Source organism: Homo sapiens, chromosome 1 (assembly GCF_000001405.40).
Source record: "Homo sapiens chromosome 1, GRCh38.p14 Primary Assembly".
NCBI classification, from domain to species: Eukaryota; Metazoa; Chordata; class Mammalia; order Primates; family Hominidae; genus Homo; species Homo sapiens.
Window position 1 is genome coordinate 40,041,160 of NC_000001.11, and position 18,659 is coordinate 40,059,818.

Sequence of the window (18,659 nt, forward strand, 5' to 3'; positions counted from 1 at the left end):
AGAAGAGGCTAGTCTGAGATATATAGCGAGTGAGGAAAAGAATCGGAATCATGATCCTGGTGCCTTAGATAACCAGCCCCAGTTCTTCCCGTGTTGCTCGGAACCTCTCTAACTTGGGATGGTCTTCCGGTCGGTGTTGCCCCGCAGGCTGCTGCAGGTTAAAGGCCAGCGCTGCGTGGAACTTTTTTTTTTCTCTCCTCCCAAATTGAGCCGTTTGAAATGCCTAGGGAGTTTTTAAAAGAAAGGCGGGCACATCCTTGTATTTACAGGCAGATATCCTCCCTTTCCTCCTCGGCTGCTGCTCTTACTTTGACAAGCCAGGCTAACATTGAAGGTATGTACTTCTGGACCTGAAATCAGACGGCTCAGGTTTGGTCTGGCCTCAGTGCTGAGTGTCTGTGGCCATAGGTGCCTTAAACTTCTTTCAGCCTCCTTTTGTTCATCTTTTAAGTGGAGATCTCTGCTGACCCCACAAGATTAAATTCAGCGTAACAAATTGTGTTTATTCTGTGCCAGCATTTTCCCAGATGCGGGGAATGCAGCTTTAAAACAAAACAATGTAGACCCTGCCCGCGTGGAGCTAGCAGTGTTTGCAGGGATGTTTAAGAAGTAATTATAAATGTTGATGAGTGTTAGGAAAGAACAGGGTGCTCTGAAAGTATGTAACAGGGGGTTCAGGAAAAGCCCTTCTGAAGAAGCAGAGTTTTTAAGATGAATTTTGAAGGATAAATAGGAATGCGTTCGAAGAGTGGAATGAGAACATTTGAGACAGGTTAGCATCAGAACTGTGTCAGTTGAAGCTCTTTGTGGGGCTCTCTCTTCAAGAGAAAATCCGGGGGCATATCAGCACATTTATCATTTACCAGACTTTTATTTAATTTATTTATTTGTATTTTTAGTAGAGATGGGGTTTCGCCGTGAAGGCCAGGCTGCTCTCGAACTCCTAACCTCAGGTGATCCCCCCACCTCGGCCTCCCAAAGTGCTGGGATTACGGGCATGATCCACCGTGCCCGGCCCCACCAGACGTTTATTAAGACCTTAATATGTATGAGGCACATTTTAATGAGATAGCCTTTGTGGCAAAGAATACAGTTCTTCTGGAGTTTACAGTGGGAGAGGAAATAGACAAGTAAATGAGGGATGGCTTACAGTGTCATAGTGCATAGCACAGGGCTACAAGAGCACAGTGGAGAAATACCTGAGCCAGGTGCCCAGGGTTCCAGGAGGAAATGGGAGGCTAACTCTTGAAATATTTATTTAGCTACATAGGGAATCCGGAAAAGGGATTTCCAGGCAGAGACTACTACAGGTGCAAGGACCTGGAGAACCGGACAGCTGAAAGACCATGACGAGTTCAGTGTGACTGGAATTCTAGTAATGGCTGGGGAAGTGGAGGAAGTGAGATGTGGTCAGGTCAGTCATATGTGGAGGACATTGTAAGTCATGCTAAGGAATTTGGATTTTTACCCTGAAAGCTATGGAGATGCTTTGAAGGGTTTTATGCAGGAAAATGATGTCGTCAGATTTATATTTCAGAAAGTTCATTCTGTCAAGTAGGAGGGGACCAGCCCTGTGGGGAAGTAAAACAGTGTTTGGAAGCTCTTGCTGTAGACATGGCCTGAACTAAGACAGTGGAAATGGGAATGGAGAGGAGGCATCAGATGTGAGCAATATTAAGAAGATAGAATCCATAGAATTGGAGGCTGATTATGGGAATGAAGAGGTAAGAATAGCGCGATTGCCTGGCTTTCTGGCTTAGGGAACTGAATGGGTAGTACCATTCAGATAGAGAGTATGAGAGGTAAATTAGGGAAGTGACATGGGAAAAAATGCATTTTGAATGTTTTTAGTTTGAGGTGTTTGTAGCACATCCAGGCAAAGATGTCTAATAAGGTGGGTCAGCTAAAGGAAAGAGCAAGAGTAAAGATACGGAGGCAGGAGAGGGCCTAAATTGTTCAGTGATACTGGGGCCTGGAGTTTTGCAGAAGACCAGACTGCAAAAAAGGTTAGATGTCGGCCAAGTTGTGAAGGGCTTTTTGTTTGTTTGTTTGTTTTGAGACGGAGTCTTGCTCTGTTGCCCAGGCTGGTGTGCAGTGGCACAATCTCGGGTCACTGAAACCTCCACCTCCCAGGTTCAAGGAATTCTCCTGCCTCAGCCTCCTGAGAAACTGGGATTACAGGCGTGCGCCACCACGCCCGGCTAATTTTTGTATTTTTAGTAGAGACGGGATTTTACCATGCTGGCCAGGCTGGTTTCGAACTCCTGACCTCGTGATCCGCCTGCCTCGCCCTCCCAAAGTGTTGTGATTACAGGTGTGAGCCTCCGCACCCGGCGTGAAGGGCTTTTAATGCCTTGTTGAATTTGTTTGGATTTGATTTTGTGGGTGGCAGTTTGCTAATTGATTTGCCCAGGTCCAGCATAAAGAAATTTCTGGGCTGGGCACAGTGACTCACGCCTGTAATCCTGACACTTTGGGAGGCTGAGGTGGGCAAATCACTTGAGATCAGGAGTTCAAGACCATCCTAGCCAACATGGTGAAACACCATCACTACTAAAAATACAAAAATTAGCTGGGCGTGGTTGTGCATGCCTGTAGTCCCAGCTACTTGGGAGGCTGAGGCAGGAGACTCGCTTGAACCCGGGAGGCGGAGGTTGCAGTGAGCTGAGATTGCACTGCTGCACTCCAGCCTGGGTGATAGTGAGACTCTGTCTCAAAAAAAAAAGAAAAGAAAAAAGAAATTTCTCGCTTTTTCCAGAAATACTTCCTCAATTGGGTAGGCATAATTGATATCTCAGAGAAGTTTAAATAAAATGGTAGCAGCAAAAGTACTTTGTAGAATACAGCCTGATGTGCAAACCAAAAGTGGTGATATTGTTAAGATTCAGTGAGTATATTTTTGCTTTGGAGTTTAGCTATTGAGTCTGTAAAATGTTTTGTTTCCAACCTAGGGATGATCTTTTATTCTCACCCTTTTTCCTGGTTGCAGTTATTTTTTTAGCTTTTAAAAAGTGACTTTCTTGAGGCTGAGTTAGAGACTAGCCTGGTCAACATAGTGAGACCCCTGTCTCTACCAGAAAAAAAAAAGGTGACTTCCTCCTTTCAGTTTTTTGTGAAGCATTGTGAATCAAATTTTTTTTTACTTAAGCAAATGCAATGTGTCACTGGAAGCCGAACCTCTGGTTTGAAATTTAATGCTGAGATTTGAAATATGAGAGTTCTCGAGCGGTATCTTACCCAATTTTAGTGATTATTACTTTGAAATGTTGACATCAGTTTCTTTCTTTATTTGTGCTAACCTGGCTTTCATGACCTATACTTCAGTTTCTCTATGACAACCAGACAAATCTTTTTAAAGTTCTCTAAGAAGAAGCATTTTTCATCTTGTTAGTCTTCACTGACTTCATATTTACAAAGAATAAATTCTGAACTCTTTTTTCCATCTTACAGAATTCTCTACAGTTTAGACCCTTATCTTAATTTTTATTAGATGATACAGGTTGACTTTCTAATTTAGAAAGTCGTGAACTAGCATTTTACTTAACCTTTTGCACCTCCCTATGCTCCTTATTAAATTAGAACAGGGTTTCTCAACGTTGGCACAATTGACATTTTGGGCCATATAATTCTTTTTTTTTTTTTTTTTTTTTTTTTTGAGACAGAGTCTCTATCTGTCACCCAGGCTGGAGTGCAGTGGCACAATCTCGGCTCACTGCAAGCTCAGCCTCCCGGGTTCACGCCATTCACCTGCTTCAGCCTCCCGAGTAGCTGGGACTACAGGCGCCCGCCACCAGGCCCAGCTAATTTTTTGTATTTTTAGTATAGACGGGGTTTCACTGTGGTCTTGATCTCCTGATCTCGTGATCTGCTCGCCTCGGCCTCCCAAGGTGCTGGGATTACAGGTGTGAGCCACCGCGCCTGGCCATATAATTCTTTATTATGGAGTTGTCCTGTGCACTGTGGGATGTTAAGCAGCATCTGTCTCTACCCAGTAGATGCCAATAAGACTTCCTCAGTTGTGACAACCAAAAATGTCTTCAGACATTGCCATATGTCTCCTGGAGGACAAAATTGCCCCTGGTTGAGAATTGCTGCGTTAGAAAGTATCGTAGCTATGATTGTACAATGTCCCCAACTAAATTCTGTGAGGGCAGGCCCCATAGCCATACTTAGCACAGTCGATGGTACATGATAAGCACTCAGTATCCTACAATGAATGAATCATTTGTTTCTGTTGAAGCTTCAAGAAATTACTGTTCCTTCAAGGAATTTCTGGGTGGGCAGGTTGGAGTACAATGGTGCAATCATGGCTGATTGCAACCTCCAACTTTTGGGCTCAAGTAATCTTCTCGCTTCAGCCTCCTGAGTAGCTGGGACTACAGTTCTTTTTCTTTCTTTTGTTTTTTGTTTTTTTGAGATGGAGTTTTGCTCGGTCGCCCAGGCTGGAGTGCAGTGGCGTGATCTTGGCTCACTGCAACCTCCCCCTCCCGGGTTCAAGCAGTTCTCCTGCCTCAGCCTCCTGAGTAGCTGGGACTAGAGGCACACACCACCACACTCAGCTAATTTTTGTATTTTTAGTAGGGACAGGGTTTTGCCATGTTGGCCAGGCTGGTCTCGAACTCCTCAAGGGAACCACCCACCTCAGCCTCTCAAAGTGCTGGGATTACAGGCATGAGCCACCATGCGCTCGGCCAAATGTTTGATTTTTTTCAGAGACAGGGTCTTGCTATGTTGCCTGGGCTGGTCTTAAACCCCTGGCCTCAGGTGATTCTCTGGCCTCAGTCTCCTGAGTCACTGGGATTACAGGCATGAGCCACCACACCTGGCAGATGTGATCTTAAGAGAAGTGCCATTGGTTTGAGTACTAGAAGCAAGCTTCTTGTTGATGGTGTAAGTCAGCAGATTTCCCTCTCTATTGAAAATTGTGTGAATTCCTGTTTTGTTTGTGTTCCTTGTATTTAGAGTGCTTGGTTTTAGTGGACAGGGACTATCATTTATTTTAAAGTTGCATATAGGCTGGGCGTGGTGATTCACGCCTGTAATCCCAGCATTTTGGGAGGCCAAGGCGGGTGGATCACCTGAGGTCAGGAGTTCGAGACCAGCCTGGCCAACATGGTAAAACCCCGTCCCTACTAAAATTACAAAAATTTGCTGGGTGTGGTGGCATGTACCGTAATCCCAACTACTAGGGAGGCTGAGGCAGGAGAATCACTTGAACCCGGGGAGGTGGAGGTTGCAGTGAGCTAAGATCGTGCCACTGCATGATCTGCGCCAGCTTGGGTGACAGAGCAAGACTCCGTCTCAAAAAAACAAAACAAAACAAAAAAAAACAAACAAACACTAAAGTTGCATATAGTTTATGGAGTTATTCACATTTATTTTAGTTGATAAAATTATACAGTCATGTGTTGCTTAATGACAGGTACATTCTGAGAAATTTGTCATTAGGTGATTTCATCATTGTGGGAACATCATAGAGTGTACTTGCACAAATTTAGATGATACTGCACATGGTGTAACTTATTACTCCTGGGCTACAAACCTGTATAGTATGTTACTGTATCTAATACTGTAGGCAGTTTGTAACACAGTGTAAGTATTTGTTTATTTAAACTTTTTTTTTTTTTTTTTGAGACGGAGTCTCACTCTGTCGCCCAGGCTGGAGTGCAGTGGCACGATCTTGGCTCACTGCAACCCCCGCCTCCTGGGTTCAAGCAATTCTTCTGCCTCAGCCTCCTGAGTAGCTGGTACTACAGGTGCGCACCACCACGCCCAGCTAATTTTTGTATTTTTAGTAGAGATGGGGTTTAACTATATTGGCCAGGCTGGTCTCAAACTCCTGACCTTGTGTTCTGCTAGCCTTGGCCTCCCAAAGTGCTGGGATTACAGGCATGAGCCATCGCGCCCGGCCACATTTTTAAAGTACAGTAAAAATAGGGTATTATAATCTTATGGGATTTTGTGTTGATTAATCCCCATATAATCCCATATAATCTTATGGGACCACTGTTGATTTTGTGGTCCATCCATTGACCAAAATGTCATTATGTAATGCATGACTGTAGTTTCATAATTTTAAATTAATGCAGCTACAGCATTCACCATGAAATTATTTCTTGATGTACTATATGTTAACCTGATAAAAACAAAGTTCTAAAAATATGCCTCAGCTACAGTGCTGCTTTGTTTGCCTTGTATTACCAGACCTTTTGTGCCAAACTTTTCCATTTGGCTGGAAAATAGTTGAAATGTTTAATGGAAGGAGCAGACTTGCTTTGTTTTGTTTTGTTTTTTCCTCCAGAGGGCATTGAAATTCCTATACTTTAGTTAATTATAGACTTACAGTCTTTCCATATTCCTACTTGTAGATGAATCATGGCTAAGGACAAACGTCATCCTTGAATCCATCTTTATATATTAGAGTGGGAAATGCTGTTTTATTAAAGCAACTATTCAGGCTGAAATCAGCCAATGCAGTTTTCCCTTACACGCTATAAAACATGTAGAAGTAGAAAGGGACTGCCGAGTGCTCTGTGCAATTAGTCTTCATAATATTCTTTGAACGTAGGAGAGAAGAGAACCCATGACCACACAAAGTTACCTGTTTGCTCCAGACATTGAAACAGCTAGTTCCCAAGTCTAATTTCACTTTATACACTAACTTTACTCACTCCTGGAGTTTCAGGTAGAGGACATGTGTAAGGAGGGAACAGGAGACAGGTGTTGATGTTGGGTTGGATTCCTTCCCTCCGTAGAAGATAGGCCTTTCTTTTAAAATCTAAACCTCGGGTGGCAGTGACTCAGGCACTAAATGTCATTGGTTTAATCAGTGAAACCAAATGCTTAGAGAAGAACAGTGGCTCCTGATTTGGGTTAGATTTAGATGGCATCTTTTTTTTTTTTTTGAGATGGTGTCTTGCTCTGTCTTGGCTCACCGTAACCTCCGCCTCCCGGGTTCAAGCAGTTCTCCTGCCTCAGCCTCCTGAGTAGCTGGGATTACAGGCATGAGCCATTGCACCCACCCACCATCACGCCTGGCTAATTTTTTTATTTTTGTATTTTTAGTAGAGACGGGGTTTTGCCATGTTGGCCAGGCTGGTCTCGAACTCCTGACCTCAGGTGATCTGCCCTTCTCAGCCTCCCAAAGCGCTGGGATTACAGGCATGAGCCATTGCACCTGGCCTTACAGGCATGAGCCATTGCACCTGGCCTAAATGGCATCTTTACTGGGGCAAAGTGGTGCCTGTTATTTGGTTTCTGTGTTAAACAAGCCAACTTGTATCTTCTGGTAGCATGTGTAGGTTTTACTTTGTGACATGTTAAAACCTCGTGATAAGAATTCATTAGAAGTAGAACTAACTACTACATAGTTTAGTGGTAATTTAGAAGGGATAGTCAAGTAGAGATTTTTATTATTATTATAAAATATTATATGTTAAAAGAAAGTTTGGAAAACAGGTAGAAATTGTCAAAAACCCATCACCCAAATGTGACAAATATTGTAAATTTTGCGTTCAAGTTTTTTTCCACACTTCATTTAGCTATTCCCCTATAATTAGAAGTCCAAGATAGATATAGATAGATCAATAGATCTAACATTGCAGCAAACATCTCCATGCTTATCACTTTTCTCACATTATGATTTACTTTCTTAGGATAAAACCTCAGGAACAGGATTACAAAATTAAGAGAAGCATTTTGAAGCAAATCAATTGGGCTACCATAGTAGACAGGCTGATTTGTATGGGTGCTTTATTTTCAATTTTACCTAAGGATGATGACTTAGAAAAACAACTGTGGGACAAAGTAGAAAACATTTCAAGCATAGCAACTTCCTACTCAAGTAGAAATTCATGCTACTGTCTTAATTGCCTGGTGGGATGCAACAAGAACTGCACGCATAACCTGGTTCCATTTACTTCTGAATGACTTCCTTGAATAGGCAGAAGGAATTGGGTTAAGTTGTTAGAAGTATAAGAGTGTGAAGCAGCTTTGGCAGGAATCACTAGCCATTTCTAATTTTTTTTTTTTTTTTTTTTTTTTTTGAGACAGAGTGTCTCTCTGTCGCCCAGGCTGGAGTGCAGTGGCGCGATCTCGGCTCACTGCAAACCTCCGCCTCCTGGATTCAAGAGATTCTTGTGCCTCAGTTCTGGCAGAAGGTGGTGTTTTTACAAGATGATTTCTAGGATTACAGGCATGCACCACCATGCCTGGTTAATTTTTGTATTTTTAGTAGAGACGAGGTTTCGCCATTTTAGCCAGGCTGGTCTCGAACTCTTGACCTCAGGTTATCTACCCGCCTCAGCCTCCCTAAGTGCTGAGATTACAGGCCTGAGCCACTGCGCCAGGCCTGGTTTTTTGGTTTCAAACCACAATAGACATTGCTGGAGAATCAAGCTCATAGTTTCTTTTTACTCTGCATGATATCCCTCCAAAAGCTTGTCTGTTCTCATGACTTCATGACAGTTCTTTGCCAATGATTTGCAAACATTATCTCCAGTCTTGATTCTTTCCTAGGCTTTATTTCTAAATACTCACTAGTCATTTCCACTTAGAAGCTTTGTCTTCTTTTCAAACTCAGCATATCCAAAACTGACCTCATCTTGTTGCCCTAACTAGAACATGCCACAACCCATTTCTGCCTATAATGTCATTATTCTCTTAAGGCCCCCATATTTGCAAATCAGGAGTCATCTTTGCCTCCCTTCTCTGAATGCTGCTGTGCTCACAGTCAGTACCATACAGTTAGTACTTGTTCTCAGTTTAATGCACACTTGTTTCATATGACCTCCTAGGGCAGAACCAAGATTCGTGGGTGGAAGTTGCAGGGAGGCAGATTTGCCTCCATATAAGGAAGAACTTTTTAATACTTTGAGCTGTCTGAATGGAATGGACTGCCTCCAGAAGTCTCGGGTTCTCCATCACTGAAGGTGTTTGAGCAGAGGCTGCCTGACTAATTGCTAATTGAAAGGACTGTTCTGGCATAAGATGGTGTTTTTACAAGATGATTTCTAGAATCCCTCTAATCCTGAGAGCCAGTGAGTCGATAGAAGGTAGCTTTGTCTCTCCTGCTAGACTCCCTTAGGACAGGGAGACTATTTTACCTTTCTTTTATATTCTGTACAGCACTTAATTCAGGTGCTGGTCTCTTAATTGCCTAAAGATGATTATTTACAGGTTAATTGATTCTTTTCATTTTGTTCCAATATTTGGTTAAACACCAAATATTGTGGATTTTTTTCCTTTGAAATATCTTGGGGAGACCAAGGCAGGTGGATCACCTGAGATCAGGAGTTCGAGACCAGCCAGGCCAACATGGCGAAACCTTGTCTCTACTAAAAATACAAAAATTCGCCGGGCGTGGTGGTGCATGCCTGTAGTTCCAGCTACTCGGGAGGCTGAGGCAGGAGAATCGCTTGAACCTGGAAGGTGGAGGTTGCAGTGAGCTGAGATCATGCCATCACACTCCAGCCTGGGCAACAGAGTGAGACTCCATCTCAAAAAATTACAGTAATAATAAATAAATACAAATATCTTTTGTAGTAGCATTATTTTAGATGAATAACAGCTTTTAACCTAACTTTCTAGACCCTAATATCATCACTTGTCTCCACATCCCATTCTGTTTATCAGACAGTACTTGTAAGCTCTTTGCTTTCATCATATTATTCTTTCACTCAAAACCCTTGAATGGCTTCACATTGATCACAACGTCAAATTTAAATTTTCCCTGGCTTTCAGTGCCCTCCATCATCTGGCCCAGCTTGCTCATGCATCCTTGTTCCCTATAATACTCCATGTTCCATGCAGGCTAACCCACTCACATTTTCTGTACATAGCCTGCTTGGTCTCCTTTTTTGCTTTTGACTTGCTCTGGAATGGCTTCCCTTTTTTCTCTTGCCTCTTCAAGATGCCTCACTTCCCTCCTGAAACCAAGCTACCGCCAGTCCTCATTGATTTCCTCTGAACTCTCAGAGCATGTAGTAATTTATGTAATTCAGAACCGTAGCAACAACATTCTGTGAAGAAAAATCTGCAAGAATAGGCTGATAATTTAACTTTCCCTAATCCAACTGGATATTCCCATAATAAAACTTTTAAAAATATAGGCTGGCTGTCATGGTTCACATCTGTAATCCCAGCATTTTGGGAGGCTGAGGCAAGAGGACTGTTTGAGCCCAGGAGTTTGAGACTAGCCTGAGCAACATAGTGAGACTCTGTCTCTATCACACACATACACACACACACACACAAAAGCCAGGCATGGTGGCATGTAGTTATAGTCCCAGTAGTCCCAGCTACTCAGGAGGCTGAAGCCAGGAGGTCAAGGCTGCAGTGAGCTGTGAACACACCATTGCCCTCCAGCCTGGTCAATAGAGCCAGACCCTGTTTTTTGTTTGTTTGGGGTTTTTTTGTTTTGTTTTTTTGTTTTTTGAGATGGAGTCTCACTCTGTCGCCCAGGCTGGAGTGCAGTGGCGCGATCTTGGCTCACCGCAAGCTCCGCCTCCCGGGTTCATGCCATTCTCCTGCCTCAGCCTCCTGAGTAGCTGGGACTATAGGCCCCTGCCACCGTGCCTGGCTAATTTTTTTTATTAGAGACGGGGTTTCACAGTGTTAGCTAGGATGGTCTCGATCTCCTGACCTTGTGATCCGCCTGCCTCGGCCTCCCAAAGTGCTGGGATTACAGGCGTGAGCCACCGCGCCCAGCCTGTTTTTTTTTGTTTTGTTTTGTTTTTTAAATAAAAGCAGAAAAACTTTAACAAATATAATCTACAGTATTTATTCCATTCACATTTTATTTTGTTGTCTTAACCAATATGAGTGCTTCTGGAGGGGAGGGACCATGTGTCTTCTATTTCTTCAGTAGGCCCACAATGCTAAGCACTTTGATTTTATTAGCATCTTCTGTGTGCCTAGTTTTTCTAGGTGCTGGGAGATAGAGTCAGTGCAGGAGGTAGAATGGATAAATTCCCATCCTTCTTGAGCCTATATTCTAGTACGTAATATGTAGTGCTAACATTTTACATTTGAATTGCATTTTAAGGCTTCTGAAGTGATTACTCGTATCTATGAAATCACCTCCTTTGATCCTTATATCTGTGTATGCTAGATGAGGATTATAATCCATTATGTGACTGTGTAAAGTTGCACAGTTAGTATGTACAGCTTGGGACTCAGGCCTCAGTCTTCTAATTTTATTTGGACTTGTGTAATTTTGACCACCTGTGTTTCTGAAGCTTTTATGATGAATGCTTAAGTAGTTGGGAATCCGGACATTCATTTATGGAGGTTTACGTATAGTTCTTGGTTATTGACAATTAGAAATGGCAAGGAGCAAGATTAGGCAGACATACAGTTCTCTGCTCTGATACTTCTGTGTTTGGGAGAAGCCTTATTTATTTATTTATTTAAATAAAAGAGATGAGATTTTGCTATGTTGCCCAGGCTGGTCTTGAACTTCTGGCCTTAAGCCATCCTCCTGCCTTGGCCTCCCAAAGTGCTGGGATTATAGGTGTGAGCTATCATGCCTGGCCTGAGAAGCCTTATTTTAAACATTTGCTTTCCAAATATGTCTCATCTATCCTGAATGTGATTGAAAAAAAGTTGGCCTCCATGGAGAAAATTGAAAGCAGAAAAATGGAAGATGCTGGCCAGGCGCGGTGGCTCACGCCTGTAATCCCAGCACTTTGGGAGGCCGAGGCAGGTGGATCACCAGGTCAGGAGATTGAGACCATCCTGGCTAACACGGTGAAACCCCGTCTCTAATAAAAATACAAAAAATTGGCCAGGCATGGTGGCTCACGCCTGTAATCCCAGCACTTTGGGAGGCCAAGGCGGGCGGATCACCAGGTCAGGAGATCGAGACCATCCTGGCTAACATGGTGAAACCCCGTCTCTACTAAAAATACAAAAAATTAGCCGGGCGTGGTGGCAGGTGCCTGTAGTCCCAGCTACTCGGGAAGCTGAGGCAGGAGAATTGCTTGAACCCGGGAGGTGGAGGTTGCAGTGATCTGAGATCGTGCCACTGTACAGCCAGCCTGGGTGACAGAGGGAGACTCCATCTCAAAAAAAAGAAAAATGGAAGATGATAATAATGTAACTAAAGACACCATAAAGAGACCTTGAGCCCATAGTGCTGTGCAAACAAGTTGGGGCTGGATACTGTGATTAACCATATAGTCACTTAATTTGTTAAAAGCCATTGTGGAGTAGCAAGAAGAGCTGCAGAGTAGGATTCAGAATATTTGTACTCTAGGCCTAGGTTCTTTACTCACTAGTTGTTTGACCTCTGGCAAGTTTTTTTTTTTGAGATGGAGTTTTGCTCTTGTTGCCCAGGCTGGAGTGTAATGGCGTGAACTCGGCTCACTGCAATCTCCGCCTCCCAGGTTCCAGCAATTCTGCCTTAGCTTCCCAAGTAGCTGGGATTACAGGCATGCACCGCTACTCCAGGCTAATTTTGTATTTTTAGTAAAGACGGGGTTTCTCCATGTTGGTCAGGCTGGTCTCGAACTCCCGACCTCAGGTGACCCACTCACCTCAGCCTCCCAAAGTGCTGTGATTACAGGCATGAGCCACCGTGCCTGGCCATCTGGCAAGCTTTTAACTGCTGTGAATGTCAGTTCAGTTTCTTCATTCTAAAAATAGGGATCAATGTCTGCGTAACATACCTTGCAGAATTATTTTAAGTCTCAAAAGAATCAACAGATTAATAATGTTAAGCATTTACAACTATACAGAATTACTATATTTAATTGATATTATATATTCTAAGAAGAGTACTTTCCTTATGGTACTTAGTTTGAAGATCTCTATATCAGTGTGATTCGTGGCTGAGAAGGCAACATTTATTTGAAAGACAGGAGGGTTTGTAAGGTCCTGCAAAAGCAGATAAGCAAAAAATTAAAACAAAACAAAACAAAACACTTCTCCATGGATTCGATAGAGAAGATAGCCACACTGTGTTGAGGGGAGAGTGAGTAAGAGCCTTTATTTATTTATTTTCTTACTCAAACACCTTTATTAGCCCACTGTTCTTTTTTTTTTTTTTGGAAACATAATCTCACTCTGTTGTCCAAGCTGGAGTGCAGTGGCGCAATCTCAGCTTACTGCAACCTCCACCTCTCAGGTTCAAGCAATTCTCATGCCTCAGCCTCCCAAGTAGCTGGGACTACAGGCGCATACCACCACGCCTGGCTAAGTAGAGACGAGGTTTCACTGTGCTTCCCAGCTGGTCTCGAACTCCTGAGCTCAGGCAATCCACCCGTCTCGGCCTCCCAAAGTGCTAGGATTACAGGCGTGAGCCAATGTACAGTGTTTTTAATGCCTCCTATGTTTATAGTAGTGGAATTACAGTGGCAAGACATGGTCCTTGCCTTAGGGTGGCTAGTTGCCTGTTGACTGTTAGAGGAGATCAGATGCATTCAGGGGATTATGGCCATAAACTCTTAGACTCTGAAGGCTATTAAATAAATTATTTTATTTTTTTATTACTAATGTCTTGAGACAGAATCTTGCTCTGTCACCCAGGCTGGAGTGCAGTGGTACTATCTCGGCTCACTGCAACCTCCACTTCCCAGGTTCAAGCCATTCTTGTGCTTCAGCCACTGTAGTAGCTGAGATCATAGCATGCGCCACCATGCCCAGGTAATTTTTGTATGTTTAGTAGAGATGGGATTTAGTAGAGACGGGGTTTTGCCATGTTGGCCAGGCTGATCTCAAACTCCTGGCCTCAAGTGATTGCCTGTGTTGCCCTCCCAAAGTGCTGGGATTACAGGCGTGAGCCACCATGCCCGGCCAAATAAATGATTTTAAACCAGTGTGTGCAGTGTTGTGACACAGATAAGTGCACAGTGTTGTGGTAGCACATACTAGAAATACTTCCCCAGGAGGTGATAACTTAGCTGAGACTTAAATGACAATAGGAGTTCTAGAGGGGCAGATGGGAAAGGGAAAACATCTAAGCAGAGTGGATAGCATTATAAAGGCTCAGAAGTGAGAGAAAGCATGGCTTTTTCTGGAAAACGCAAGTAGTCCCGGGTTGCTGTAGTGTGCTAAGGAAAGGTGTAGCAAGAGATAAAACAGGAGTGGTAGAAGATTAAGCAGGACTAGATGAGAGAAACCCTTGTTTGGACTTTACCCTGAACGCTCTGGGGTATGTGTCAAATGCAACTCTAATATCATATCTTAAATGCAAATATAATTATAAATATTTCTTTAATACCATTCAGTACTCTGGGAAGTGTTGAGATAGATCACTCTGACTATAATATGGAGAATGGATGAACAAAGTTTATTACTGTAACTAGGGGAGACTAGCCAAGAAGTCATTGCAGTAATCTTGGTGAAGTCTTGATATCCTTTTTTTTTGAGACAGGATCTTGCTTTGTTGCCCAGGCTGGAGTGCAGTGGTACTCATGGCTTACTGAAGCCTCTACCTTCTGGGCCTAAGCCATCCTCCCACCTCAGTCTCCCAGGTAGCTGGGACCACAGCTGTACACCACCATGCTTGGAAAAATTTTAAATTATTTTTGTAGAGACAAGGTCTCCCTATGTTGCCCCGGCTAGTCTTGAACTCCTGACCTCAAGCAACCCTCCTGTCTTGGCCTCCCAAAGTGCTGGGATTAGAGGAGTGAGCCACTGTGCCCAGCCAGTATCCTAACTCTTATCAGTCAGGATGGAGGCAAGAGGCATCTATTCATGAGATACACTAAATAGAGCCTATGGATTTTGATGACTGATAAGATGTTGTGGGGGAGTTTATGGAATCCTTACTATTTTCCAGGACTGTGCCAAGCACTTCTACATGGATTCCTTCATTTATTCTCACTGAAGCCCTTTGGATTTTTGTGCTATTATTGTCTTCATTATAAAGATAAGGAAATTGAGTCTCAGAAAGTTTGATAACTGCTTATAGTCACAAAGCCACTGCATATTGTTATTCAAACCTCCAATCTCTCTGATTTCTCTAAAGAACACTCTTATCCACTATATAATACTGCCCAACAGTTTCCAGTTACTGACTTGATCAATCAGGTGATTGATAGCAGTGCTGGAGCAATGTTAGGGAATATGATTTCTGCTTTTGGACATTTCAGGTTGCCTTTGGGACATCCAGGTAGCGATGTCTAGGTGAAAGCTGGATTTTTTTTTTTTTGGAGACAGGGTCTCACTCTGTCACCCAGGCTGGAGTGCATGGTACAATCACTACTCATTGCATCCTCGACCTCCTGGGCTCAGGTAATCCTCACACCTCAGCCTCCTGGGTAGCTGGGACTACAGGTGTGTACCATCATGCCCGGCTAATTTTTTTATTTTCTGTAGAGATGGAATTTTGCCATGTTGTCCAGGCTGGTCGTGGACTCCTGAGCTCAAACACTTCCTCCCATCTTGGCATTCCAGAGTGCTGGGATTGTAGTTGTGAGCCACAGTACTTGGCCTGAATCTAAAATTTAATCCCAGATGAATGGCCTGAGCTAGATGGATATGCTGCTCTGGTAGTCTTTAGTCTATAGGTGGTTATGGTGGTACCACCTCGCAAATAGGCTGGGTGTTACTACAACAAGGGTAGTCAGAGGCTTTAGGAGTGTACATGACCACCGGAAGAATGTACGTGTGTATAGAGAATAAGAAAAGGTGTGTCTTTCACACAACTGAATCTCATTCTCTACACACACATACAATGTCATACTTAAATTCTGGACATTATTTTCCATAACATCTCAAATCTCATCTTACTCCCACCAAGAGCAAAAAAAACAGTTTCTGTTCTTTTGTATTTGGTTAATGGTAGAATGAGATTAGCTATAAATGGTAGCTGTATTGTCCTTTTTCATTCTGCTTAAGTCAGACAGCGGAACTTTAGCTTGTTTAGCAGTGAAAGCCTATAAATACAAATGAAATATGGAAAAAGGGAGCCAAAGTCCCATGAAGCTCTATTATTAAGCATTTAAGATTGGTAAATGTTCACAAACTCTGGCAGCCTCTAGCAATACATGTACTGTGTCTCCATGTTAACAGTGGTCTCAACCTGAAACATCCATGTATGAAGGAACATGTTTTAATAACAGAACTGAGTGGTATCTGTTCATGGAAGGTAGCTTAGGAGTTTATTGCGTTCCTTGCCTTTTCCCCTGGACTTACAGTGTGGTGGATTGTATATATATGTGAGTCTGTCTCTTGATCAGTATGCATAATGGAACAGGGCAGGAATTCAGATATCAGTTGATAGTGTCATAACATTAGGGAAAGTATGTTGACTGCTTATGGTCTGCTCTATTTGAGAGTAGGACATAGACCTGGAGGCTTCTGCTGCTGCTGCAGGCCAAGGAATGGAAAGGTTTGTTTGGTTCTCATTCTCATTTTTTTTCTTTGCTTCTCTTTTAAACAACACTCTCTGACAAGTGATTGGGCCCACAGAGACCAGAGCCTGTACACAGAGAATGGACAGAGACTATATTGTCTTCCTTACTTTATCTTGTGAGCTGCTTATCTCTTCCACAGGGAGGACAATGTGTTAAATTGAGATAATTCTGGCATGCTGTCATCTTTGGGGGAATCATAATTGCTGTTGTCATTTTAGGCAGCTTCAAGGGAGTTGAGTTCATTCAGCTTCAGTTACCTGAACTGAATTCAGTTGCCTGAATTGACGCTTTTGTGAAATGGAATCTTTCCAAGTCAAAGCTTGGATTGAAATTTCACTGACTGGTTTTTATGAGATCACTTAGGGTCTCAAATACTTTATGTAGAGGTGCATTGATCATATTTTACACTTATGTGTGACTTATGGGCAACTTTTAGCACCCTTATCCCTCTGGAGTTTTGGAATGCTATTTGTGAGGTTTATAACTTCATAAATATTTATTGAACATCTACTACCTGCCAGGTAGTAGTCTAGATGGTAGAGTATACAGTAAGGAACAAGCTATATAAGGTCCTTTCTCTGTTGGAGCTTACTTTCTTTGGGATATTAGACATTGAATTAGGCTATTTCAGATAAGATAGTACTTGTGAAAGATCTATAACAAATTCTTTTGGATGTGTCTAGTGTCCTTCCCTACTGCATGTCCAGATCTTTCTCATCTTCATTTGAAGGCTGGCTCAAATGGCAGCTTCTCCATCATATCCTTATCTGATCCTTCCAGCTGATATATTACTCCCCTCTTTGAAATCTCATGCCTCTCTATCAGCAACTTTCTTATGTCACCTTAACATTTTTTTCTATTTGTTTCATAGTTGTTAGTGCATATGTTAAGTCTCCCCATTAGACTATAAATTACTGAGGGCAGGCCGGGCACAGTGGCTCACGCCTGTAATCCTAGCACTTTGGGAGGCCAAGGCGGGTGGATTACTTGAGGTCAAGAGTTCAAGACCATCCTAGCCAACACAGTGAAACCCTGTCGCTACTAAAACTACAAAAAATTAGCTGGGCATGGTGGCGCACACCTATAACCCTAGCTACTTGGGAGGCAGGAGAATCCCTTGAACCCAACAGGGTGGAGCTTGCAGTGAGCTGAGATCCTGCCACTGCACTCCAGCCTGGGTGACATTGTAAGACTTTGTCTGAAAAAAAAAAAATTATTGAGGGAAGAGTAAACATCCTATTCATCTTGGTTTGGGATATTTCACATGCAGGCAGCAGGATGTTGTAGGAAAAAAACACACTGAACTTAGAACCAGAAGGATCAGATAAGGATATGATGGAGTACTGGCTTCTCTATTCACTGGCCGTGTGACTAGACAAGTCATTTAGCTTCACTGAAACTAAGTTTTCTATCTCTAAGCGTGTAGTAATCATCCTTCTATTCCTGAATAGTTGTCGGGAGGCTCAAACTGAGATAATGTATGTGACTATCCTTTGCAAATTCTAACTTTCTACACACAGTATCATAGTAAATATTGAGTATTTGAATGAGTAAGCATTTACTTTAGTGAACACCTTTTCCTGAGCAGTTCTCTTGCTTAATGAGGTCTTTTGATTTTGTAAATATGCTACTTTTTTATCTGATATTTTTGTATTGTTCCATTTTGCAGATGATATCTAATTTTATTAAATTATTCTGTTCCTGAGAATTGGCATCCTCTTCATCCACCTGGGGATGACCAGGAATTTTCTGTTTTTTTCTCTGTAGGTGCTATTTAATATTTAAATAACAAATGACATTTGATCTGTTTCAGCAGGTGGTCCATTATGGCTGACATGCAAAATCTGGTAGAAAGATTGGAGAGGGCAGTGGGCCGCCTGGAGGCAGTATCTCATACCTCTGACATGCACCGTGGGTATGCAGACAGTCCTTCAAAAGGTAAGCAGTCCACAGCCCAGCAGAATGCTTTCTTTGAGCGTCTTGGCCTGAAAATTTTCTATTATTCTCTCCTTTGGCGCTAACTTCCCAAAACTTAATCTAGAAAGTTTACCTTTTGTAATTTGTATTGCTGTGAACAGATAAGAGAGGAAATGACTTGTACAGGGAGGCCTGTGGTTAAGTTATTTTAACACAAGAACTTCCTGCTTGTGCAATATTTCCTGCTCTTTCTTTAGCAGAATGACTCCAATGTAAGTCAAATGACAAGTGATAATAAAATTCCTCTCTCCAAACAATTGGCAAATTGGACATTTTGCACATGCACCAGTTGGAACATAGAATGTTAGCACTAAAAAAAAC

At 42.6% G+C, this 18,659-nt stretch overlaps 1 protein-coding gene across 25 annotated transcripts in view, besides 3 other annotated features; it reads left to right on the plus strand.

Annotated features, from left to right (window-relative positions):
- CAP1 (cyclase associated actin cytoskeleton regulatory protein 1) overlaps nt 1-18,659 on the plus strand; it is a 32,409-nt gene that overhangs the window by 920 nt on the left and 12,830 nt on the right. For 8 of the 25 annotated variants that reach the window (NM_001350479.2, XM_047431628.1, NM_001350477.3 and 5 more), the window contains exon 2: nt 18,175-18,299. In NM_001350479.2, coding sequence (NP_001337408.2) covers nt 18,188-18,299 — 112 coding nt within the window. In that variant the 5' untranslated portion in view covers nt 18,175-18,187. Of the gene's footprint in view, nt 1-269; nt 335-18,174; nt 18,300-18,659 lie in introns of all 25 variants that reach the window. The other 17 variants (NM_001350478.2, XM_047431520.1, NM_001350475.2 and 14 more) reach the window with 3 other exon arrangements.
- Nucleotides 11,892-12,391: an enhancer, noted in NCBI's record as "H3K4me1 hESC enhancer chr1:40518723-40519222 (GRCh37/hg19 assembly coordinates)". NCBI's record gives its function as "activates a minimal SCP1, AML or CMV promoter by ChIP-STARR-seq in naive H9 embryonic stem cells {active_cell/tissue: H9 hESC(naive)}" and the evidence as "EXISTENCE:reporter gene assay evidence [ECO:0000049][PMID:30033119]".
- Nucleotides 17,749-18,510: an enhancer, noted in NCBI's record as "OCT4-NANOG-H3K27ac hESC enhancer chr1:40524580-40525341 (GRCh37/hg19 assembly coordinates)". NCBI's record gives its function as "activates a minimal SCP1, AML or CMV promoter by ChIP-STARR-seq in naive H9 embryonic stem cells {active_cell/tissue: H9 hESC(naive)}" and the evidence as "EXISTENCE:reporter gene assay evidence [ECO:0000049][PMID:30033119]".
- Nucleotides 18,116-18,165: an enhancer, noted in NCBI's record as "active region_828". NCBI's record gives its function as "activates an Ori minimal core promoter by ATAC-STARR-seq in GM12878 lymphoblastoid cells {active_cell/tissue: GM12878}" and the evidence as "EXISTENCE:reporter gene assay evidence [ECO:0000049][PMID:35858748]".